This window comes from Homo sapiens, chromosome 3, assembly GCF_000001405.40.
Source record: "Homo sapiens chromosome 3, GRCh38.p14 Primary Assembly".
In the NCBI taxonomy this organism is placed as follows: Eukaryota; Metazoa; Chordata; class Mammalia; order Primates; family Hominidae; genus Homo; species Homo sapiens.
Window position 1 is genome coordinate 112,948,898 of NC_000003.12, and position 26,703 is coordinate 112,975,600.

Below are 26,703 nucleotides of genomic sequence, written 5' to 3' on the forward strand. Positions count from 1 at the left end.
CAATTATAATGCAAAGTTTTCAGTGCAATGATCGAAGTTGCCTGTGATGTATAGAAGTTTAAAAGAAGAGATGTTTAAATTCCAGGAAAACAGGAGTAAGAGATTAGGCATGCTTTCCTATAATAAGTAATTTTTTAGCTGGATCTAAGTACATGAGGAGTTTTCCAGGAAGACAGAAGGGAAAATGCAAACAAAAATAATGGCATTTAAAGGAGGTACAAAGCCAAATAAAAATTTACAAGAGTTATAAATAGTTTAGTATTGCCATGAAGTGAGAAAACCTGGATGTGTAATTGGAGTTGAGGCTGGATATCGGCAGGCTCTAACTGTGCAAGGCACAAAGCTCCTGGAATGTGTTCACAAGGAAAAGATACACTCGTAGCTTATCTATAGTGAGTGTATCTGACTGGCAAAGAGACACCTTTTAGAGTAAAATTTAATGCTCAGTGTTTTTCTGGAAAAAGTTTTAATCTACTGCCCCTTTCAGCTGCCATTTTCTTTAGCAAACTGTTCTTTTAAGATAATTTATGGAATGAGTATAACAGGAATAGATTTTGGGTAATTTGCCTATGTTCTTTATTTCCATCTCTCTATAACTAGCAGATATGATTATTTTCATTTTACAGATAAAGAAATGTAGATTAAGTGATTAAGCAATTTGACCAAGACTACCTGGCTAGTAAGCTGCTTCAGTTACCCAATTATGAATCTTAGTGCAAGTAAGTCTTACTGCTATGAGTAGAAATCAATGGTTAGAGCCTAAGAAATATGCTAGGATAGATACACAACCCAAATTAACCCAAACTGAAGTGAGTTTAAGCCATGTTATTGCAAGAGCACTGAGAGACAAACTTTTAAAAAAGCAGATCGCATGGCAAGTCCATAAAATCAGGATTACAAAGGCATCTGGACACAGACACTATGAATTCTAGATCTGAACGGGAATAGTTAAGTTCGGGAAGAGACAATTGTCAGAATTCATGGGCTTAGAACAGTGGCCTGCACAGCTCCCTGGCACGTGGCTAGATGAAGCTGGATTAAAAATAAAGATCAACCCAAACCTATAGCAAACCAGACTAAACATATGGACAGAAATTTTATGGAAAAAGAAGTAAAAATATCTCTTAGTCATATGAAAATATATTTCACATCAGTCATGGTAAGAGGAATCCAAATTAAAAGTATTTGGAAATACCATTTCTCATCTATAACTGGCAAAATCCAAAAGTTTGACAACATACACTGTTGGGTGAGGTTGTGGAGAGATAGGTATGTCTGTATGTTGGTATTGTTCAATTTTATAGTGAGGAAGAAAGAAGATAATAGATGTAAAATAAGTAAGTTTAATACAAAAATTAGCCGGATGTGGTGGCAGATGCCTGTAATCCCAGCTACTTGGGAGGCTGATGCAGAGAATTGCTTGAACCCGGGAGGCAGAGGTTGCAGTGAGCTGAGATCACACCACTGCACTCCAGCCTGGGTGACAGAGTGACACTCCGTCAAAGAAAAAAAAAAAAAGGAAAAAAAAATCCTCAGTCCTAAATTTTAATGAAAAGTATCAATATCAACTTAAGATGTATTTTTATCTTTCAAAATACATATTTCTTATCTGCTGCTAAGTTGTGGGGTAATTCATTACATAGTTATAAACAACTAATATAGTTATCAACCACACTGACCTAATTCATATTTTTAGTACCCTAACCCAGCATCTGCAGAATACATTCTTTGCAAGTGCACATCGTATATTCGCTGAGTTTGGCCACATTCTGTGCCACAAGTCTCAAAAACATTAAAAAAAACTGAAGTCATATAAAAGATGTCCTCCAACCAAAACAGAATTGAATTAGAAATCAATTACAATGAGATTTTTAAGAAAATACCAAATATTTAGAAATCAAACACACGTCTAAGCAACCCTTTGCTCAAAGAAGAAATTCATGAAGAAATTAAAGTTTTCACTGGATGATAATGAAAATACAACATGCCAAAATTTGAAATAAGCAGCTAACACAGTGGTTTTAGGAAAAGTAATACCTTTAAGTGCTAATTTTAAAGGAAGAAATGTGTAAAATTCACCCATAGAAGCAAGAAACAAAAGAGAGAAAACACAATAATAAATATAAGAGCAGAAATCAATAAAAGAGGAAACAAGCAATGCAAAAAATTAAGGAAATCAAAAGCTAGTTCTTTAAAAAGATAATCAACATTTATAAACTAACAACTAGACTGATAAGGAAAAAAATAGAACACAAATCTCTAATATCAGGAAGGAAGGAAGGGTCATTCATATAGATTTACATTCGTGAAAGGAAAAATGAGGGAATATTATTAACAATATTACGCTAATCAAATTCAGTAACAGTTGAAATGGACAAATTCATTGAAGACAAAGCTTTTGAAACCTACTTAAGAATAAAAAAACTGAAAAGCCTTATATCTTTAAAAAACTGAATTTGTTGATAAAAAGCCTTCTATCAAATTGGCTACACTGACAAATTTAAGCAAACATGTAAGAAAGAAGTAATATTAATTTTACACAAAAACCCTTTTAGAAAATCAAGGAGAGAACACTAACTCATTTTATGAAGGTAGAATTAACCATATATCAAAACTATACAAACACCTTACAAATTAAAAAACACATTATGAAATTTTTTCACAAAATATTAACATCAAATCTTGCACTATGTAAGAAGTAAAATATTAGGCATAGAATTTTCAAAGATGCACTTTAACAGTTTGAGGAAGTTTTCTTCTCTTCCTAGAACTAAATGAACTTAGTAAAGTAATAATATAAAATACTAATAATATTTTAAAACAATTACATTTTTCTATACTAGCACAAACAATTGGAAAATGAAATTTTAAAAATGTTTACAATAATGCAAAAAAAAAAGCCTAGGAAAAAAAGGTAATAAAAGTTGTGTAAGACCTGTATACTGAAAACTGTAAAATATTGCTGAGGTAAATTAGATAAACCCTATATAATGGAAAGTCCCAATATTATTAAGATGTCAATTCTCCTCAAGAACAGTCTCAATCAAAATGTAGTAGTCTTTTCTGTGTAAATTGAGAAGATAATTCTAAAATTTATATATGAATGCAAACCTAGAATAGCCAAGCTGTTTGTTTAAAAAGAATAACAAAAAAAAAAAAAGAGAGAAAAATTTACTTAAGTTTAAGCTACACTCTGAAGCTACAGTAATCAAAACAATCTGGTCTTGGCTAAAAGATAATCACATATGTCAATGGAATATAATACATAATCCAGAAATAGACACACATATATATACTTTATTGATTTTTATCTCCTTGGTTAAATTTATCTCTTAGTATTTTATTTTCTGTAGCTATTAAAAATAGGATTTTCTTTCTTTCTTTCTCAGATAGTTCACTGTTAGTGTATAGAAAAGCTACTAATTTTTAATGTTGATTTTGTATCCTGCAACTTTACTAAATTCATTTTTTAGTTCTAAGAATCAACCCAAATGTCCAACAATGATAGACTGGATTAAGAAAATGTGGCACATGTACACCATGGAATACTATGCAGCCATTAAAAATGATGAGTTCATGTCCTTTGCAGGGACATGGATGAAATTGGAAATCATCATTCTCAGTAAACTATCGCAAGAACAAAAAACCAAACACCGCATATTCTCACTCATAGGTGGGAATTGAACAATGAGAACACATGGACACAGGAAGGGGAACATCACACACCAGGGCCTGTTGTGGGGTGGGAGGAGGGGGGAGGGATAGCATTGGGAGATATACCTAATGCTACATGACGAGTTAGTGGGTGCAGCGCACCAGTGTGGCACATGTATACATATGTAACTAACCTGCACATTGTGCACATGTACCATAAAACTTAAAGTATAATAATAATAATAAATAAATAAATAAATAATTTTTCGTGGAGTCTTTGAGTTTCCCATATATAAGACCATGTTGTCTGCAAACAGGAACAATTTGACTTCTTTATTTTCTATCTGGATCCCTTTATTTGTTTCTCTTGCCTAATTCCTCCAGCTAGAACTTCCAGCATTATGAGGAAATATTATTAACAACTTTATGCTTCCAGTACCATGTTGAATACAAGCGGCAAGAGTGGGCATCCTTGTCTTGTTTCTGATCTTAGAGGAAAGGCTTTCCATTTTCCCCCATAAAGTGTGAAGCTAGCTGTGAGTTTTTCATGTATAATCATTATTGCACTGAAGTACTTTCCTTCTATACCTAATTTATTGAGAATTTTTATCATGAAAGGATGTTGAATTTTTAAAGGCTTTTTTGCATCTATGGAAATGATCATCTGGTTTCTATTCTTCATTCTGTTCCTGTGATGTCTCATGTTTATTGATTTGTGTATGTTGATCCTTACATCCCTGGGATGGAAGTCCACTTGATCATGATGAATGGTCTTTTTAATCTGCTATTTATTTTGGCTTGCTAGCATCTTGTTAAAGATTTTTTGCATTTATGTTTACCAGGGATATTGGCCTGTAGTTTTCTTTTTATCTGGCGTCCTTGTCTTATTTGGGTGTGAGGGTAATTCTGGCCTCGTAAAATGACTTTGGAAGTATTCCTTCGTCTTCAATTTTTGGAAGAATGAAAATAATTGGTGTTCTTCTTTACATGCTTGGTAGAATTCAGCAGTGAAGCCAACAGCTGCTGGACTTCTCTGATGGATGATTTTTTATTACTGATTTAATCTCTTGACTCATTACTGGGCTGTTCAATTTTTTTATTTCTTCATAATTAAATCTTGGTAGGTTGTCTATGTCCAGGAATTTATCCATTTCTCCTAGCTTATCCAATTTGTTGGCATATAATTGTGTTTATAACAGTCTCTTGTGATCCTTTGTGTTTCTACAGTATAAGTTGTAATGTCTCCTTTTTCATTCTCATTTTATGGATGTGAGTCTCTCTCTTTTTTTCTCAATTTATCAGCTATAGGTTTGTTGATTTTATTTATCTTTTTAAAAAGCAACTCATTTCATTAGTTTTTTTCTCATGATTTTTCTAGTCTCTATTTTATTTATTTATGTTCTGATATTTATTCTTTGCCTCCTTCTACTAATTTTGGGCTCAGTTTAACTTAAGGGTCAACATTCGGTTGTTTATTTGAGATTTTTCTTCTTTCTTAATGTAGGCACTTATTGCTATAAATCTTCCTCTTATAGCTGCTTTTGCTGTATCCCATAGGTCTTAGTATGTTGTATTTCCATTTTCATTTGTCTCAAGAAATGTCCTTAATTTCTCTTTTAATTTTATTGGCCAATTGGTTGTTCAGGAGTATGTTGTTTAATTTCCATGTATTTGTGAAGTTCCTCCTGTTATTGATTTCAGGCTTTATATCCATAATGATATATCCCCTCCAACCATAATGTTGGAGGGGATACTTGATATGATACCAATTTTCTTAAATTTGTTAAAAACTTGCTTTGTGCCTGTCATATTGTAAAATATACATTTGGGTTTTGACCCTGTTTCCTGACACACAACTCCTAAAATCCTTAAAGTCTCCAAAGTGATGTCTTTTGTGTATGCTCATTAGTTGACTGGTGGTTAGTAACTTCAGGATGGTGGCTGGTCACTGGGAAGACCAAGGCATGACTAGAGGGTTGACTTTCAGCCCCACCCTTCAACCTCTGGGGAGGGTAAACGTGCTGAAGGTTATGTTGATCACCAATGGCCAATGGCTAATAAATAATGCTTATCTAATGAAGCCTCCATAAAAACCCAAAGGACTGCATTCAGAGAGTTTCCAGATAGCTAAACATATGGAGGTTACTAGAAGGTGGTGTACCCGGAAAGAGCATGGGAATTCTGCACCCCTTCCCACATGCCTTGCCCTATGCACTTTTTCATCTGTATCCTTTGTAATATCTTTCATAATAAACTAGTAAACATAAGTAAGTATTTCGCTGAGTTCTGTGAGTTGTTCTAGAAAATTAATCGAACCAAAGGAGGGGGTCATGGGAACCGAGTCTTATAGCCAGTCAGTCAGAAGCACAGGAAAAATAACCTGAGGCTTGGGATCTAATGTTTCCTTCAAGTATATAGCATCAGAATTGAATTGAATCAGGATACAACCAGCTGGTGTCCACTGAAGAATTCATTGTTTGGTGTGTAGAAAAAAACAGACAAACAAACTTTTGGTCACAGAACTCATCAGTGTTAATTGTTATGGTGTGAGAGCAAAGGAAAACCAATTTGAGTTGTTTTTCCACTCACAAAGTGGTCTAACATATGATCTATCCTAGAGAATGTTTCATGTGTAGTTGAGAAAAACGTGAATTCTGTAGCTGAAGGATGGAATGTTCTGTGTATGTCTGGTAGGCCCGTTTGGTCTACAATGTAGTTTAAATGTGATGTCTCACTGAACTTTTCGCCTGGATGGTCTGTCCATTGCTAAAAGTGGGGTACTAAAGTCCCCTAATGTTATTGTCTTGCAGTCTATCTCTGCCTTCAGATCTATTAATACTTGATTTTTATATTTAGGTGCTTCAATGTTGGGTACATATATATATTTACAATTGTTATATGCTCTTACTAAATTGACCTCTTTATCAATATATAAAGACCTTTTTGGTCTCTCTTCACATTTTTTTTTTTTTTTTGAGACGGAGTTTCGCTCTGTCACCCAGGCTGGAGTGCAGTGGCATGATCTCGGCTCACTGCAACCTCCACCTCCTGGGTTCAAGTGATCCTCCTGCCTCAGCCTCCCGAGTAGCTGGGATTACAGGTGCCCACCACTACTGATGAGTCAGGTCTGGTGGTGAGAAATTCCCTCATCTTCTGTTTATCTGAGAAAGTCTCTCTCTCCTTCATTTCTTAAGGACAGTTTTGCTAGTTAAAGTATTCATGATTGGTAGGGTTTTTCATTTTTTTTTTTTTTCAGTACTTTAAATATATGATCCTACTCTTTTCTGGCCCATAAGGTTTCGGCTGAGAAGTCCACTTCTAGGTACATTTGAGCCCGTTTTTATGTTATGTTATTGCTTCTTTTCTTTTGCTGCCTTCAGGATCCTCTCTCTGCCTCTGATTTTTGACAGTTTGATTATAATATGTCTTGGGGTAGTCTTACTTGGATTGAATCTGATTGTAGAGTTTTGATTTTCCTTTACCTGAATATTTTTATCTTTCTTCAGGTTTGGAAAGTTTTTTGCTATTACTTCCTTAAGTAAGTCTTCTATCTATTTATCTTTCTCTTCTCCCTCTTGAACTCCAATGACTCAAACATTTTGTTGTTTTGATGCTGTCTCACAAATCCTGTGAGCCTTCTTCATTTCTTTTCATTCTTTTTTTTCTCCTATGACTACATATTTTCAAATAACTTGTTTCAAGTTCACAGATTCTTCCTTTTGCTTGATAATTCTACTGTTGATACTCTACATTGTATTTTTCATTTTTTTCATTGTATTTTTCAGCACTAGGATTTCTGGTTTTTTTTTAAATTATTTCAATCTCTCTATTAGATTTCCTTTTCTGGCCACTTAATATTTTCCTAATTTCATTGAATTGTTTCTCTGTGTTTTCTTGAACTTTGCTGAGCTTCCTTAAAAAGTTATTTTGAGCTCTCTGTCAGGCTATTCATACATCTCCATGTCTTTGTGGTTGGTCACTATCACTTTGTTTTGTCTCTCTGGTGATGTCATGTTTCCCTGATGGTTCTTGATCCTTGTGGCCATGCTCAATGTCTGTGCATTTGAAGAAGTAGGCACTTCATAGATTGACTCTGTGTGGGAATGCTTTCCAACAGTAAGCTTTTCCAGAGATCCTGGGAAGACCTACTGGCATGATCCCTATGCCCCAGATCACTGTGGCCATTGGAGCACTAGGAGCATCCTAAGCCTAGTACTACTATGGCCAGGCTGGAATCCCTTGGCCACGAGATTGGTTTAGTGTTGGAATGCACCCAATGCCAAGTAGCCACTGAGGCATGCCTACCTCTGAGGTTTGTTCAGAGACCAAGGACACTCTAGTCAGCTGGCAGTGATGCAAGGTGCTGACTGAGTTTGCCTCACATGGGTTATAGGTTCCCACCTCGTGCTGGGGTGAGTCTGATGTCCATAGGCACCAGCCTGCAGTCAGGGGTCATTGGAGTCTTCCCAGTGCTGGATTTTACTCTGGTGGGCCCAGAGTTGGGGTCCAAGGCAAAGTTCTATGTTTATTTCCCCTCTTTCCCCCAAGTACACAGTATTTCTCATCACACTGTGCTGTCTAGAATGGGGTAAGAGGTGACACAAGTAATTTAAAACTGACGTCCTCTTCAATATATCTTTTCTTATTAATATACTTATAACTAGGCACTGTGTTCTCTCACTTGGTTTCTTTAGCTCTTGTTAAGGTATTTTCATGTGCAAATAGTTGTTCAAATTGATGTTTATATGGGGGAATGATTGCTAAAGAGTCCTATTCCACCTTTGTGCTCCACCCTCCAACCAATCTATTGATTTAAAATAAAAGTGTTAAGGCAATTTTATAAAGAACTACAAGTTATTCAACAACACATGATGGAACAACTGGTTATACATATGCAAAAAAAATGAACTTCAACCCTTTACACATACACAAAAAAAATTACCTATAATTGGATTATTGGCTTAAATGTAAAAGCTAAAACTGTAATACCCCTAGAAGAATATATATAAGAGCATCTCTGACTTTGACATAGGCAAAGATTTATTGGGACATAAGTAGAACAAGCCATGAAAGAAAATCTGATAAATTGGACATTAACAAAATTTAAATATTTTGCTTTTAGAAAGATATCATCAAGATAATGAAAGACACACCATACAGTAAAAGAAAATGTTTGCAATATACATATCTAACAAAAGACTGCTATGTAGAATATGTAAAGAACGGTTACAATTCAATAACTTTAAAAGTCAATTAAAATCTGGGCAAATGATTTGAACAGACCCCTCATGAAAAATAAAAAGATATTAAAATGGCCAATAGAGTCATGCAAAGATGTTCAATATTAGTAACCATAAAATAAATGCAGATATAAAACATAGTGAGATAATGATTACACACCTATAAGTATGGCTAAAATTAAAAAGACCAATAATAAATCCTGGCAAGAATGTGGAGAAATTAAAACTCTCATACATTACTAGTGGGAATGTAAAATAATGTAAACTACACTGGTATATTTCTGGCAGATTTTTTTTCAAAATTCAAACATGTGCCCACCATATTACCTGTTCATTCCAACTGTATTTATCTAAGAGAAATGAAAACATATCCACAGAAGACTTATGCATAAATGTTCACAGTGGCCTTATTTGCAAATATGTATTCAAAATTGCCAAAAAAACTGGAAACAACTGAAAGGTCAATTAACAGTTAAATCAATCAATTATCCACACAAAGGAATACGACTCAATAGCAAAAAGGAAAACACAACATTGACAAATCTCAGAATCATTCTACTAATTGAAAGTACAAGATGGGCACAAAAGAATACTACATACTACAAAAAATACTGCTACTAATATAAAATGCTAAGTAATCTCTGGTGACAAAGAACAGATCAGTGATTGCCCGCAAATGAGGATGAAGGAAGGGATGGACTAAAGATACATGAGAAATATTTTGGAAATGGTGAAAATGTTTTGTATCTTGTTTGTGGTGATGATTCACAGGTATATACAACTGCCATAATTTATTAAATTACATGTTTTAAACTGATGCAATTAATTGTACATAAATTATTCTTCCATAAAGCTGAAAGGAGATAACTAAAAACAGCATCAGAAACATTGGGTTTTAACACACATAACATTAGAATATGCATCCACACAAATAAACACAAAACAAAATATAAACAGAGATCTTTCACACTGAAAATAATGTTTTTTAAAAAATACTTCTATCTAAGTCAAAATCATCAGTAGAAAGAAGAATGTTTTCGTGATTTTACTACTAGCGAAACCTCTTACTCACTTTGAGCACCAGAAGTTTCCTTTCCCAAATCATTATTGTCATATGCCTGAGCAAGCATATACACCCACACATAAAAACAGGCATGACCCTGCAGACCCATACTTCATGGAGGTTTCCTCCAGTGAGACAAAAAAAAAGGCTCTCAGAAACAGCACATGATTTTCTTGTCATGTTAAGCAGTTTTTATTTAATGTAAAATGCTGTGCTCTGCATGCTCTACTCTCTAAAAAAAACTTAGAGATAGACATTTCTGCAACGTCACCATTCCTGTTAAAAACCCCTAATTCGGTAACTATTACTAACCAAAAGAGAGCAAGTATTATACCATACTTAAATAGTTAACATTGTTGCTAATATTCATGTATTATTTCTAATGATGGAGATGGAAAATAAAAAAGAAGTTCTGCCCTTTCCTTCAGTTGCAGGTCTTCCGGAGGAATACAAACAGATAAGTTAGGAGTCTGATAAATGAACTTCAAACTGAAACTCAACTTGGGGCAAAACTGTGGACTAACGAATGTGGCTATGACTTTATCAGATAACCATATTAGCTGCAAAAGAGAACAGTGTATAATGGTTTATTTTGACATTTCTATGGACATTTCTTTATAGGACTTGGGGCCTCTGTGCTGGTACTGAGCTAAGTAGAATTCATTCTAATTGCTTATTGTAAACTTTACTGTGATTTAAATTTTAATGAATTTACTACAGTACTTCAAAAAATAGAACATAAAATAAATATACATTGAAATCTAAAAATATCCTGGCATTTTACCTGAGGAAAACCAAATAAAATTATTTCACTCTACATTTGGTGAGTCAAGCTTTTAACCCTTGAAGTCTATTTTCTTTCAAACTTCAATAAGTCTCAAAGTTTCAAAGTTTCTTTCAAACTTTAATAGATCTTCAAAGTTATTATAATGAATGTAGAGATGAACCACTATGAATTATGCATGGATTAAGCATTAAACAATTTCTAATGGCTTGAAAATATGACTTTTACTTCTTCCTTTCTTGCTTCTTTCTTGAATCTTTTTAGATAACTAAACGAATTATATGCTCTCATTTTCCCTTCAGCAAAACATGTACTATCTTTCTTACTTTAAAAATAAGGAATTACTCATGAAAGGTATGCAAAGTACATTACAAACTGAAGCTTTAAGCCCACTGTAATTACACAGTATATATTTCTCCTAAAGATTCAGGGTTTCATTTTAAATGAATGCAACTTTGTAACTGAGATCTTATTCACAAACAGATTCAGAAATTCAAATTAGGCTGACAGAGCAACTTTTCTGTAGCTACACTAAGCATATGGCTTTTTCCTCATCACCAGTATGGTAAAGTCAATAGAACACAGAAACTTTTACTATGAATTTCCTGGAAAATTAATGTTTGCCATTGTAACAATATGAAATGCAACATGGTTTTCAAATGAAAACTCTCTCCTTCACATGTCTCACAGCATATTATCTTAATTGTTCTTCCTTCCAACAAGGAAATAAGTTGAAATCGTAAATATGAGATTTGTTTTGTAAAATCATGTTTGTTACTTATGAACCAGAATTTTTCTAGGGAACAAACTATTTTGCAGACATTTGAAATTTTAGGATAAAAGTTATTTATATTAAGGAACAACAAATACAAACTTAAACATGGATAAATCTCTAAAATAATGAATAAATGAAAGAAGTTATAAAATCATATACACAGTATGATTCCGTTTCTGCACCAATACCAAAAAAAGACAATATAAATGTTATTGTTTGGGATTCCACAAACACATGATAAAATGTAAAGAAAAGCAGGGAGTAACTATACCTCAAAGGGAATAACTATACCTCAAAAGATAATGACTACGTTTAACGCAGAGGTTGGGGGATATAACTGGGGAGGAAATGGCAGTAGTCTGTTCTTAACTGACATAAGTATTCACAGTATAATTATTATTTAAAATGTATGTAAATCAAATGCAATATATATTTTATGTTAATATAAAAGAAAACTAAAGTACAAAGAAATACAAAAAGTACAGATTAGTACTTACTTTTTTATTTTTAGCATTTTAAAACACAATTTGAAGAATTGATTATGCTGTATGTTTCATGTTCCGACACTTTATGAAACTGATTTTAATTTTTAAACACATCTAGTTAGTAGCAGATGTGAACACCAAATTAGATGTTCAGCAAAAAAAAGAAAGGCGGGCGGTGAAAACTCAAAGTTCTGGCAGAGACAATTATAGAAAAAAATTTCAAAATTAAAATAAGAAAAGTGACTAATATTTTGGCCCTTTCATTTATTACCCCTGGAATCTCGCAGGGGTTACTTTCTAAACCCTAGTTGCTTCATCTACATATATGAGAATGTAGTATCTGATACCACTTGCCACTCAAATTCCTGGAGGGAAAGATGATTATATATGTCATTGATAAATACTATTATAAGAACTAGCTAGCCATGTGGGAAAATAAAACAAAATCAGATTCTTATTTCACTTCTCATACCAAAATAAAATAAATAAAAGATTTAAATATAAGAAACAAAAACAAAAGTACTGGAAGAAAATATAAGTAATTTTGTTGTTTTTGTTTTTTTTAATCTTAAGAGACAGCCTGACTAACATCGTTGTTTGCCAGACTGAGAGGTTTCCTGGGATGCAGGACATTCCATGCTAAAACTAGGAAAAAAGTTCCAGGCAAACTGATGCAGTTTTTCACCTTCAATTAAGAAATCTTTCTAATCCTGATATAAAACATGGAAACCATAAAGAAAAATATTGAGAAGTCTGACTCTAGAGAGAATTTGAAACTTCTGTATGACAAAAAAGAAAAAGAAAAATACATAAAACAATGTTGCCAAGCAAAAACCTGGGGAATGTTTGCAACATTTAAAACAAAGAAAGATTAATTTTCTTCAAAAAATATGCTGAAAACACATGAACCAATAAAAAAAGAGATGGACAACTCAACTGAAAAAATGGGCAAAGGTATGAACAGGCTGACAAAAGATTAAATATGTTAAAGGTGACACAGTAATTATAATTCTACTCTTTAGGTACAACATAGGGATAAAAATAAAACATACAGATGGGTTATAAAAAGAAAGGTGAGAAGTGTTTAGAAAAGTAGGAAGTTTCAAAACAACAATTCAATAATGAATTTGATGGAAGGACAAAATTTAGAAAGCAGTAAGTATTATGCTAATAAATTTGGCCCTACTTTTTAAGGCAATATAAAGTCTGTGGCAGTTATTAGGGTGTATTGCTAATAAAAGCCATCTTACTGGCCTGTTTTGTTTTTTGGGTTTTAATTTTTGGTTTTGGGAGTATTTTTTTGAGGCAATTACTGTCACAAACTCCAAAACTACTTAATGAAGACAAACATGTTCCCTAACCTAAGGCAGATGTTGTGTAAATGTGTATCACTGATCACAAAGGACAATACATTCAATGGATATGTAGACACTGAATACATATGCATATTAACATATGCAAAGATATGTGTACCAGGATACTAATTCTAGCATTGTTTTCCAAAAAATCTGACACAGTTTTGAAACTGTAATTTAAAAAAACTGAAAACAACCAAAAAGCTGGTCTGTAGGGGGCTAATTAAATGTTATCAAATAATATACAAGAAGAGCTTTGAAAACCACAAAATATCATTAAATTGTCATTTTTGAATGCTTATAAATGAAGATGCAGCACTAAGTACTTTACCTGCATCATTGGGCTTAATCCTTATTGCCACCCCAGACACTAGGTCAGGGATTATAGGTAAAATGTCCAAATTTTATTATTAATTGGCAGCTAACTTTTTAAAAAAAATTACATGTATCAGCTAAAGTGTCTGCAAGCCAGATATAACCCATGAGCTGCCAAATTGCAGTCTCTGATGTTAGAGAAAAGGCCAAAACTAGAGCCTTGAAAACATTTATAATTAGAGATCTCTTGGAGGCATTGCACTTTACAAAAACAGTGAAGAAAAGTAGGATATAAATGCAATGCCACAAAGCCAAGTGATATGGTTTGGCTGTGTCCCCACCCAAATCTCATCTTGAATTCCCATGTGTTGTGGGAGGGACCTAGTAGGAGGCACTTGAATCATGGGGGCAGGTCTTTCCCATGCTGTTCTCATGATAGTGATTAAGTCTCACAAGATCTGACGGTTTTAAAAACAGGAGTTTCCTGCACAAGCTCTCTTCTCTTGTCTGCTGCCATGTAAGATGTGCCTTTCACCTTCCACCATTATTGTGAGGCCTTCCCAGTCACATAGAACTCTAAGTCCATTAAAACTCTTTCTTTTGTAAATTGCCCAGTCTCAAGTATGTCTTTATCAGAAGTGTGAAAACAGACTAATACAGCAAATTGGTACCAGAAGAGTGGGGCACTGCTGAAAAGATACCCAAAAATGTTGAACTGACTTTGGAGGGTAGCAGGTAGAGGTTGGAACAGTTTGGAGGGCTCAGAAGAAGAAAGGAAAATGTGGGAAAGTTAGGAACATCCTAGAGACTTGTTGAATGGCTTTGGCCAAAATGCTGATAATGATACGGACAATGAAATCCAGGCTTAGGTGGTCTCAGATGGGGATGAGGATCTTGTTGGGAACTGGAGCAAAGGTGACTCTTGTTATGTTTTAACAAAGATACTGCCAGCATTTTGCTCCTGCCCTAGAGATGTGTGGAACTTTGAACTTGAGAGAGATGATTTAGGGTATCTGGTAGAAGAAATTTCTAAGCAGCAAAGTATTCAAGATGCGACTTGGGTGCTGTTAAAGGCATTCAGTTTTATAAGTGAAGCAGAGCACAAAAGTTGATAAAATTTGCAGCCTGACAGTGTCATAGAAAAAAAAAATCCCACTTTCTGAGGAGAAATTCAAGCCAGCTGCAGAAATTTGCCTAGGTAACAAGGAGCTGAATGTTAATCCCCAAGACAAGGTGGAAAATGTCTCCAGGGCATGTCAGAGGCCTTCACAGCAGCCCCTCCCATCACAGGCCTGGAGGGTTAGGAGAAAAAAATGGTTTTGTGGGCCAGGTCAGGAGTCCATATGCTGTGTGCAGCCTAGGGACTTGGTTCCCTGTGTGCCAGCTGCTCCAGCCATGGCTGAAAGGGGCCAACATACAGCTCAGGCCATGGCTTCAGAGGGTGCAAGCCTCAAGCTGTGGCAGCTTCCATGTGGTGTTGAGCCTGCCAGTGCATGGAAGTCAAGAATGGGGGTTTGGGAACCTCTGCCTAGATTTCAGAGGATGTACAGTAATACCTGGATGTCCAGGCAGAAGTTTGCTGCAGGGGCAGGACTCTCATGGAGAACCTCTGCTAGGGCAGTATGGAATGGAAATGTGGGGTTGGAGCCCCCACACAGAGTCCCTACTGAGGCACTGCCTAGTGGAGCTGTGAGAAGAGGGCCACCATACTCCAGACCCCAGAATGGTAGATCCATTGACAACTTGCACTCTGCCCCTGTAAAGGTCACAGACACTCAATGCCAGCTCATGAAAGCAGCCAGGAGGGTGGCTGTACCCTGCAAAGCCACAGGGGCAGAGCTACCCAAGACCATGGGGACCCTCCTCTTGCATCAGCATGACCTGGATGTGAGACATGGAATCAAAGGAGGTCATTTTGGAGCTTTAAGATTTGACTGCCCTGCTGGATTTTGGACTTGCATGGGGCCTGTAGCCCCTTTGTTTTGACCAATTTCTCCCATTTGGAATGACTGTATTTCACAATGCCTGTACCCCCATTGTATCTAGGAAGTAACTAACTTGCTTTTGATTTTACAGGCTCATAGGCAGAAGAGACTTGCCTTGTCTCTGATGTGACTTTAAACTGTGGACTTTTGAGTTAATGCTGAAATGAATCAAGACTTTGGGGAACTGTTGGGAAGGGATGATTGGTCTTGAAATGTGAGGACATGAGATTTGGGAGGGTCCAGGGGCAGAATGATATGGTTTGGCTGTGTCCACATCCAAATCTCATCTTAAATTCCCACGTGTTGTGGGAGGTATTTGAACCATGGGGGCAGGTCTTTCCCATGCTGTTCTTGTGATAGTGAATAAATCTCATGAGATCTGATGGTTTTAAAAATGGGAGTTTCCCTGCACAAGCTCTCTTCTCTTGTCTGCAGCCATGTGAGATGTGCCTTTCACCTTCTACCATTATTATAAGACCTTCCCAGCCATGTGGAACTGTAAGTCCATTAAACCTCTTTCTTTTGTAAATTGCCCAGTTTCAGGTATGTCTTTATCAGCAGTGTGAAAATGGACTATTATACCAAGTAAAGAGGAGGTTTCAAGACAGGAAGAATCAAGATTAAATCATATGCAGAACAGTCTTAACCTAAGAATTAAGAAGCTTTGTGATTTGGTAACAAGAAGATCATCAGTGACCTTAAGATCTGAAAGAGAGTAAGTTTAACAAAGAAGTACAAGTGGAAACCAGATTGAAAGGGGCTGATCAGAGGTAATGGAGTCAACAAATGTAGACTTAAGTCTTTCAAGAATGCTGACCTTGAAAGAATGGGAGAAATGAGACTGGTTTCATCCTTTCATGTTAAACTTGAAAGAGAGAGAGATGGGGCAACATCAGGAGCTATGAGGGATCAAGAAGATATTTAACAGGCCAGGCATGGTGGCTCATGCCTGTAATCCCAGCACTCTGGGATGCCGAGGCAGGTGGATCACGAGGTCAACAGATGGAGACCATCCTGGACAACATGATGAAACTCCGTCTCTACTAAAAATACAAAAATTAGCTGGGCACAGTGGCGCACGCCTGTAGTCCCAGCTCCTCGGGAGGCTAAGGCAGGAGAATTGCTTGAACCCAGGAGGCAGAGGTTGCAGTTAGCCGAGATCGCACCACTGCACTCGAGCCTGGCGACAGAGTGAGACTCCATCTCAAAAGAAAAAAAAAAGATATTTAATAATAAAGGGGAACACAGCATGTTTGTAGACAGAAAGAGGGAGAGCCAGAAGTTACTAGAATGAGGAAGCTAACTGGTCAGGCAGGATCCCAGAGGTACTAGAAGGAATGAGACAAAAAGCAGGTTTGCTTTTAAAGAGATTGATATTTCATCTCTGAGAGGCGAACAAAAAGGTTAAGAATTATTACAGACACAAGAAACATTTTGAGGAAGCAGGTTAACAAACACTTGTTAGTACCTACTTAGTGGCAAGTAGCTCGGCAGAGCTCAGGGAATGGCAGCTTGAATGAGGCAAGGTTCCTGCTCTCAGAAACCTTACCATCTGTGGACATTAAAGAAGTCCACACTGGACAATGGTAAATCAGGAGGTGAGCAGCTGTCTGCAAAGGAAATGAGGATAGTTGGGGTGATGAGGAAACTAGGAAAGACCTAGAGCAGTGTTCTGAACCCTGGCACCCATCAGAAAACCCTGAAAAGACTTGTGAAAGTCTAGATCCCTATACACTGGAAAAGTCTGATTAAGCAGGCTTAAGCTCTATAGGCAATTTTAGGCTCTATAGGGAGTTCTGTCTGGCAACTACCTTAAAATCACTGGTTTAGAACCATCCCTGGGGAACAACTAGGGAAGAGCCAATTAAAGATAAGTAGGATAATTTTGTGAAGAATAAAAATAGCTAGATTTTATTATTGGGGATCTGTAAACATTTACCATTTGGACATTTTTTTCAAGGAATTATCAGCACCACAAAATGAATCATATAACCAGATATTCTCATATTATGTAATGGATAAACCTTTAGGAAAAGGTAGCATTCATGGTAAGGTAACAAAATGGCAGAGAAAAAGAAAAGAAATTACTGAACACCTTAAAACTACATAAACACATACTGGTTGGAAAAATATTTCTTCCAAATCACTGAATTTTCTCAAATAATATCCTTTGAACACATTCAGGTTTCCCCTATGTTGGTAGAAAAAAAAAAACTTTATTAGATGCTTACTTCCCCTTCTAGCTAGGATCCCTTCTCCTTTCTTTGCTGCCTAACTTCTTGAATGAGTGGTCTGTGCCCACAGCCTCAATTTCCTTCCCACTCACTCCCTCCTCAATACCAGCAATCTCGCTGCTCCCACGTCTATCTACTCAAACTGCAATTTTCAAGGTCACCAGCCCTTTTATAGTCAAGCTTTTGGCCTCTTTTCAGTGCTGGTGTTCCTAAGTTGTTGATGGATTTTAACACAATTAACCACTTTCTTCTCCTTCTAAAACCCCTTTCCTAGCCTTCCCACTACACCCATGCATTCCCTTCTCTGTCTCTTTCCCTATCTTCACTGCCTCCTCTCATATATTTTCTACAAGCTATCTTTCTCCTTGGGCATCGTAATGTCAGTATTCACCAAAGTCTCAGCTGCTTTTTCTCTTTACACTTTCTCTCCTCTTGCTCCTTAACCCCTTGAACTTCAACTAGATCTCTATACAGGTGATTTCCTCTTGTTTTCACCACTCCAGTCATAGTTTAGCTCCCTCTGTCCTTCATTAAGCCTGTTTGACCTGCCTGGAATGTTTATCCCTCAACTCTTCTTACCTCGCTGTTTCTGTTCATCTTCATCTTAAACATCACTTCCTTGGAGGAGCCTAACTTGATCCTCAAACCAGATTAGACTCACCAGTTACACATTTCTATGTCACCCTATATTTATCCTTATGCACTTGCGCATTGTTTAATTATTTGCAGTAATTGATTTAATATCTATCTTTCCCACCAGATTTAAATTCCATGAGAGCAGGACCTATGTCTGTCTTGATCAAATGTCCACAGCATGAAGCACAGTGACTGATACATGACAGACACTCTAAATTACTGGCTGACAGAATAACCCACCCACATTTTTGCTTTGACTTATTTTTCCTAAGCAAGAATCTCAAACATTTAGCTGAAATTTGTCCCCACTTGAATACTTGCTGTCATTTCAAGTGTATCACATCTAAAAGACATAGATTTTTCTCCCACACACTTGCCCCATCCCTTTCCCCTCTAATTTTTGTACTATGAAGGTGTTCAAAACTCAGCTCACACCCCAGAAAGCTGTTTGATATGATTAGCAATCCCACATACACACTTGGGCTTTATTTGCCCCATGTATAAAATGAAAGATTTTTAATTTGAAGGTTCCTAAAGTACTTCCTTTGTGAAGGCTTTATACTTCTTAATAGTGTCATACATCTTCATTTCACAAATGAGGAAATTACTGTCAAAAGAAGTTAAGCAATTTCTAAAGATGAAACAGCTAGTGGTTAGAATTACATAACTGATCTTTAGACCCAACACAGAGTTATATTTGTATTTAGAAATTGGTATCTATTGGTATCTAAATTAGTGTCTAGAAATTTTACTAGAAATTATGGGAAAGAAGAACGAAATTTTACTGAGAAAAGTGAAATGTACCAAAACATTCAATGCATGGGTAACATTTAGAAAGCAAAAAAGCATAATAATATATTCAATCTTAACATCCAAGACAATATAACCACTAAGTCAATATTAGTTGTAAAAATACAATAATATTTTAAAATATGTATATTTGAAGAAAGTTTCACTTCTTTATGGGCCAGTGAGTTTCCACAGGTAAGAACTATAAATTGTGGACAAAATATAAAAACAACTACCTGAGGTTACTGGAAAGTGGAGGAAGCAGAAAAATTCTTGAAGGGTGTCAATGCTTGGAAGAAGGAAATAGGGGATCAGAGTTGTGGGTGTAGGTTCCCATTATTTCCCCATTTTTACCGATGTTAGTCCCAGAGAGGGCTGCAGATGATACCACATTAGGCAGCTACTCTAATGGAAAGCCCACAGTTTTCTGAAGAACCAGCAGGCAGATTTTAGGGCAACTTTACTCTCTGAAAAGTGACAGAGTCAGAGTAAAAGAGTTCCAAATTCTGCATACACTCTACCCATATCTCTGATGACTCTAAACCACACATTGCAGGTCACAGTCAAAGCAGATTAGCTACCAGTAAAAGAACTCAGATTTGAGATGCTGTCCAAGGGGTAGAGTTTGCAGTTTGGGTCCAACCAAGTAAAATATCAACACAGCAATATAACAGAATCTGTGCAACATTCAAAACCCAAATAAAACTATTTAATTTACAAAGAACCAAGAAAATGTGGCCTATGCTTAGGAGAAAATACATTAAGGGAGACTAACAACTTCAAGTTGACCCAGACACTCGCATTCTCAGACAAGAGTCTTACAGCAACATTCAGCTATGCTTAGTGACATAAAGAAATATATACTCACAATGAATGAATAAAAACACAGAAAAATCTCAGCAGAGAAAAAAAACTTTTAACAAATAAATGGAAATCTTAAAATTGAAAAATACAATATCTAAAATAATATATTAACTAGGGCTTTACAGAAGAATGAAGAGGAGAAAGGAAATTGTAATTGTCAGTGAACTTGAATATATAGCAATAGAAATTATTCAATCAAAAGAACAGAGAGACAAGATATTGGGGAAAATATGTATAAAAAGGGAACTAAGAACTAAGAGAACTCCTCACTAGCAGACCTACACTACTAGAAACAATAACAGAAATTATTCAGGATGAAAGAAAATAATACCAGGTAGAAACTTGGAAATTCAAGAAGGAATTAAGAGTATTAGAAATGACAACTAGAGTGGACATAGTATGTGCCACCAACAGTTGCCTCTGACTTTTTGTTCCTGCCACTAGGATCACTGTCAACAGACAGTCTTCAGTTTTCAGCCTCTCCAGGGATGACTTCAGTTACTTAGACCAAAGTCAGACCCTTTCCAGGGGAGCCCATATCCAACGACTGATTTAGATGGAGTTATAAAGGAACAGCCATTTTTATTCAATGCAGGGCCTCTCTAAGGCCAATCTAGCTCCTGAGCTCCCTGTGGGGTCAGTGAGGGTGTCAGTTGGTTGAGATTGCAGGTAGACTTCTCCCTCTGCTCACAAGCATACTGTACACAAAACTCTATCTCAGAGTCTAACTTCCAAGAGAACCTGCAACAGCAACAATAACTCAAAGTAACAGACATTTTTGAAGAAAATTATTTCTTCAAAAGTGGAAAAACTGGCCAGGTACAGTGACTCACGCCTGTAATTCCAACACTTTGGGAGGCCAAGGCAGGAGGATTGCTTGAACCCAGGAGTTCAAGACCAGCCTGGGCAACATGGGAAAACCCTGTCTCTACAAAAAATACAAAAAAAAAAATTAGCCTGGCGTGGTGGTGCACACCTGTAGTCCCAGCTACTTGGGAGTCTGAAACAGGAGGATAACCTGAGACTGGGAGGTCAAGGCTGCAGTAAGCCATGATTGCACCACTGCACTCCAGCCTGAGTGATAGATAGAGTAAGACCCTGTCTCAAAAAAGAAATAGAAAAACTTTTAGCCCTGCTTTAATCCTGGAACTTTTTGGTATTGCTTTCCTTAAAGATTTTGGTCCTAGAATGGGGTCTAGGCATATAAATTCTATGTAGAAAAACTCTGAAGTTGTTGCTTAGTGTTAATGCATGAACAATATCATTTCTTCCTGGGGGGAAAAAGGGCTGATTGTGACTGTGTCTATTATATGAATTATATAAATCAGTGATATTTATTACCATTATTATTATTTAAAAAGTAATGATTGTTGACTTGATTCTTAGGGCCTACTAGCATCACATAGTCCAAAGGTATTTTATAACCACAGATCTGCTCCCAAATCCCAGTCAGCAATTGACAAATGTATGTGAGTGATAATAAGGCAGAAGAGGTAAAAACATGTTGATGGCTACTACATTTTTCAGACACAAATGGTTTTTCAGACACAAATGGTTAATTTTTCAGACACAACATAAAATCAAACAACAACTGGGTCATTTTATTAACTAAATGCCATTAACTGAAATATTCATGACCTTATTGGGAGGAAATTTATCTACGGTAAACTCTCTCATTTGTTCCCATTACCTTATTGCCATCCTCAAGCTACTAGCATCCCTCTATCTAATGTCTCATCTTAATCCTCAATTTCAGAAGAGTATCTCCTCCTACATGAGGTTAAGCACTCAATTGATACTCCACTTTGGCTCCCTTCCTGTCTCTTCTCAGATCTTCCTATCTTTTATAGACTGGAAAGAGATAAGTATGGTTCTTAGAGCCCAAATCCAAATATCTCTAGTGCTTATTCTATTGTTTTTGTCCATATGTTTATTCTGTTCGTGGGATGGATCATCTACTTCATGAATGATTCACAAACACTAGAGTTTTCTATACAGTCATCCCTCAGTGTCCTTGGGGGATTAGTTCTAGACCCCCAGAGATGGCAAAATTCAAGGATGCTCAAATCCCTAATATAAAATGGTGTAGTATTTCATATAACCTATGTACAATCTCTCACATACTTTCAATCATCTCTAGATTGCTATAAAACCTAATACAATGTAAATAATACATAAGTAGCTATTATATTGAATTATTTAGGAAATGACAAGAACAAAATCTGTACATGTTCAGTACTAATGAAATCATCTATTTTTTCCCTTTATATTTTCAACTGAAGTTGGTTGAATCCAGGGATGCAATACAGAGGGCTGACTGTATTTCCAAGTATCTGTAGGAATTTTCCTCCTACTTGTCCTCCCTTCCTATACTGAATTTAATATCTTCCTCCACAACGAAACTCCCTTCTCAGTCACATATATACCTCAGCGGCATCACAGAACTTTTTTCAAATGAGAACCCCAGGGCAGAAGCTCTTGACTCATGTTTCAAAATAAATATTTTACCTAGTGCCACCGCCACTCAATGGGACACTGTTACCACATTATTCTCCAAAAAATCCTACTTAATTATAAATTTTCCTGTTCACCAAAGAACAGGTGGTTCCTCATTGTCTACTGACTAATACCCAGGTTCTTTAATTTAGCTATTAAGGACCCCCAAAATCCAGCCTTATTTCCTACTATTATTTAACACACAACCTCTGTTCCTGCAAGCTACAGCTCTTTCTCTCTCTGAAGCACCTTGCATTTGCACATGCTACACATCCCATCCTTCCAATTCCTTTCTCTGCATTTCCCCATTTATCCAAACCTGTCATTCAAAGCCTAGCTCAAGACCCATCTCCATAAAATCCTCCACAACTCCAACCCACTGTAATTTCTCCCTCCTTTAGATTTGTACTAGTTTCATATACAATTTCAAGATTTACTGATTTTAAATGTTCACCAATTGTTTCATCTTACCTTTGTCTTTCTAATTTAGATTACTAATAACTTTTAGGCACTATTCTACACACACACACAGACATTAATAAGGACTTTTAATTAATTTATTAATTGCTTAAGCATGAACATTTAGAGAAAAACACACCTATAAATTATTATAACATGTAAATTCACAAATATGCAAACTAGAAAAGGAAGATAGGACTAAAGTTATTAATAAGGACAAAACCCTTCTTTTGCACAATTGTTTTGAATCTTTTTCCACTGTTTGCAAATCTGCCAAAGCTACCTTAGAGCCCTGTCTTGATTTTTATCTCCTCTTCTTGTTACTGCCTGTCCTCTAGTGGAAGACAACAATAAATGAATAAAAATTAGCCCAAAGAAGGAAAGAAGTGAAGGGTTCCTTTTTAGTAACTCATAATCACAAAATCAGTAACTTTTATAAAAGATGGAATAATTTTAATTGGAACACCAAAATATAATTTGAACACACACACAAAAATCTAGAAGACAATAGGGCTAAAAAAAAGGAGGAAGAAGTGGCACAGGGTACGGGGAGTGTCCGGGAAGGGGACCAGGTACAAGGCTGGGAATATAGCTCTGATGTACACAATTTAGGTTGTTTTTATTTTTCCCCTTAGGTTTTTTCTGGATAAATCTTGTTTACTAACTGCCAAGCTGCTTGAAGTTATAAGCAAATAAGTAGACAAAAAGAAAATAGGGAAACCAAATGAATACTATGTTTTACATTTAAGTCATTAGCTCCCTTGTTCCTTTGTGAATTTACCTTGTACAAAGCGAGTTCTTTCTGTTTGGCAGTATTAATAACATAGCAGTTTTAGCAATAAAGACATAAAGTCATATTTCCCCAAGTGGTATGCTTCTCATTATTCTAAATCATGTCATGGTTAACCTATCACACCAAATCACTACATGTAAAGTAATATGCTTTTTTAAATCCTGATTTTAAACATTTAATAACTTTACAATAACATAAGCATAGACTTCATAGATCTGCTATATGTAGTCTTTCCTAGTTGTGTTCAGAAATAGTTTTAAAATTTAAACCTTTCAACCTTTAAAATTGAAAATTACAAATTATGTTTTAATCATTTTTTTTCCTTTTCCCAGGAGTAACAGTGCAATTTGACATAAACAGCTCCTTGCCTATCTGGCTGCCCCAGCCAAGCTGGGTCCTACACAAGTTGCTATAAGAGCTTTCTACAACAAGATCTGAACTACTGAAAGATTCAGATCACTTGACTTTTTAGGTGAGTAACAGTCTATTAAGGCTAAAACTAAGTATTGGCTTGACTTTTTTCACTGATGCTCTTCAGTGAAAAGCACAATGGTTAAATAATGAGGAAAATTGCCCACTCAAATGTTTAGTGGTGCTTACTGATGTATATCATTACTGATTGTGATTCTGGCACATACTAGTCATATCTAACCTTGGCCAAATCATTTCACCTCTCTACGCCTCCATTTCTACCTTTGTAAAATGGAGAGGTGTCTTCCATGTCTACTTCACTGGGTTGCTGTGCAGATCAAAGGGAAAAAAGCATGTGAAAATTCTCAATAGAAAGGTGCAGTCAAAGAGTGTAGTTATTTTGCATGTGTTCACTAGTAAGATTAACATGTGGAAAGAAGATTTTTTGTGGAAGATAAGCAGCATTTTAAAGTCATTCAGAAATGAGGAAAAATACCTTTTCTTCTTTCAATTATCAAATTATAACATTTAAAACCAACTACACTCTTCCCTTGCAGCTGCTCTGTCTACCAAAAGTGAAACCTGAAAACTCCCTCCCACACCAACTCCTACCAACCTTCTACAGTGAAACCAGGACACCCCCACAGTGGCCCAAGTTCTCTATAACTTCTATAGGAACCTAGATGTTGAAGAGTCTGTTCTCTAACTCGTAGTGTCTCTTACAGCCCACACATCTTGAAGATAAATACAGACATACATCACAGACGCACCACTGTAACTGTAGGCATATTATATTTTTGAAGTGCCTAATCATCGAAAGTGACAGAAAGCAATAAACTGTCCTAATCTATGCCACTGGCAATGTGGACCTAAATGAGTTAGCGTTCTTATCTTAAAAAAAAAAATTAAGAGAGAAGAGGCTGGGTGCAGTGGCTCATGCCTGTAATCCCAATGCTTTGGGAGTCTGAGGTGGGAGAATTGCTTGAAGACAGGAGCTCAAGACCAGCATGGACAATATAGCAAGACTCTATCTCTACCAAAAATTTTAAAAATTAGCCAAGCATAGTGGCGCATATCTGTAGTCCTAGACACTCAGGAGGCTGAGTGGGAGGACTGCTTGAGACCTGGAGTTACAGGCTGCAGTGAGCTACGATTGCACCACTGCACTCCAGCCTGGGCAACAGAGCAAGACCCTGTCTCAAAAAAGGGGGTTGGGGAAGAGAATAAGATAAAGAGAACCTAACTGACTTTGATTGCTGCTAGTATGTATTTGATTTATCCTGCCTTGTTCAAAAAACAGGAGGAAATAAGGAAATGGACAGTAAGACAAATTATAGAGATCTGTATATTGTAGTAGGATACAAAGTACAACAAGCAAGACACCGGAAAAAAGGATAATAAAGTAAACTAGATATGGGAGTAACCCATATTTAGCAACCCCCTATATTTATTATTGCAATTGATTTGTATTGCCCCAGAAGAAAGACAAAAAATAAACTCAGGAAGAGCTGAGACCAGGTTTCTCACTGTTCTCCCAAAGAGAATTCAAACTTACCGGCCACTAAGAAGATAGTCAAAATCAACAGTAGCCCTAGGTTAGCAGTTCTCCAAGGGCAGAGCATTTCTGTTTTCTCTTTTTCTGCCCTTCACTCAGTACTTTTCCTCCACACAGGTACAGAAGGAACTGTGCGCATGGTGAGACCCTCTCTGGTCAACTTCTCAGTACAGGATCCTCTTACCCCATCAACAGTGGGGCACTCCCTTCCTTCTAGCCCCTTCCTTCACGTCTATGTGGTTTAGCCTGGTTAGTAACTTGGACGAACAGAAGCTTTTCTCTGGAACTTGACACAGCAATAGATTTCCTGTATGAAGCCCTGAAGCAAAGACGGAGGAAGCAGATTGATTGAATTATCTCTCAGCTCATTGGTTCTCCTCTCACTTCTGCTGTACACAGACAAACTTTACAGTAAGGCATTGAACGTGTCCAAGATAAACAGATTTGTCTAAACTTGCACCAAAAAGTAAAACAGAATATTGATCTACTTTGGCCCATCCTTGTAAATTTCCCAATTATGATGACTTTTAGAGGCTTTCTCCAGGTTGAAGAGCTTTACGGCCTTAGTATTTGAGTCTGGAATACAATATGTTTTCTTGAAAATTATTGTGTGAAATTCCTGTCTATAATGGGAGTCAACACACAACCCTGTAAACATCATATGTGTATTAGTTTCCTATTGCTACTGTAAGAAATTACCACAAACTCAGTGGCTTAACACAACACAACATTTATTATCTTACAGTTCTGGTGATCAGAAGTCTGAAATGGATCTTAGGGGACTAAAATCAAGGTGTTGGAAGGGCTGCA

The 26,703-nt window shown here is 36.3% G+C and overlaps 1 protein-coding gene across 4 annotated transcripts in view; it reads right to left on the bottom strand.

The window, feature by feature from the left end:
• The window catches only part of CD200R1 (CD200 receptor 1), a 53,899-nt gene extending 27,693 nt beyond the window's left edge, over positions 1–26,206 (bottom strand). For all 4 annotated transcript variants that reach the window (NM_170780.3, NM_138806.4, NM_138940.3 and 1 more), the window contains exon 1: positions 25,894–26,206. In NM_170780.3, the coding sequence (NP_740750.1) occupies positions 25,894–25,960 (67 nt within the window). In that variant the 5' untranslated portion in view covers positions 25,961–26,206. The remainder of the gene's footprint in view (positions 1–25,893) is intronic.
• Positions 26,207–26,703: the final 497 nt, after the last annotated feature.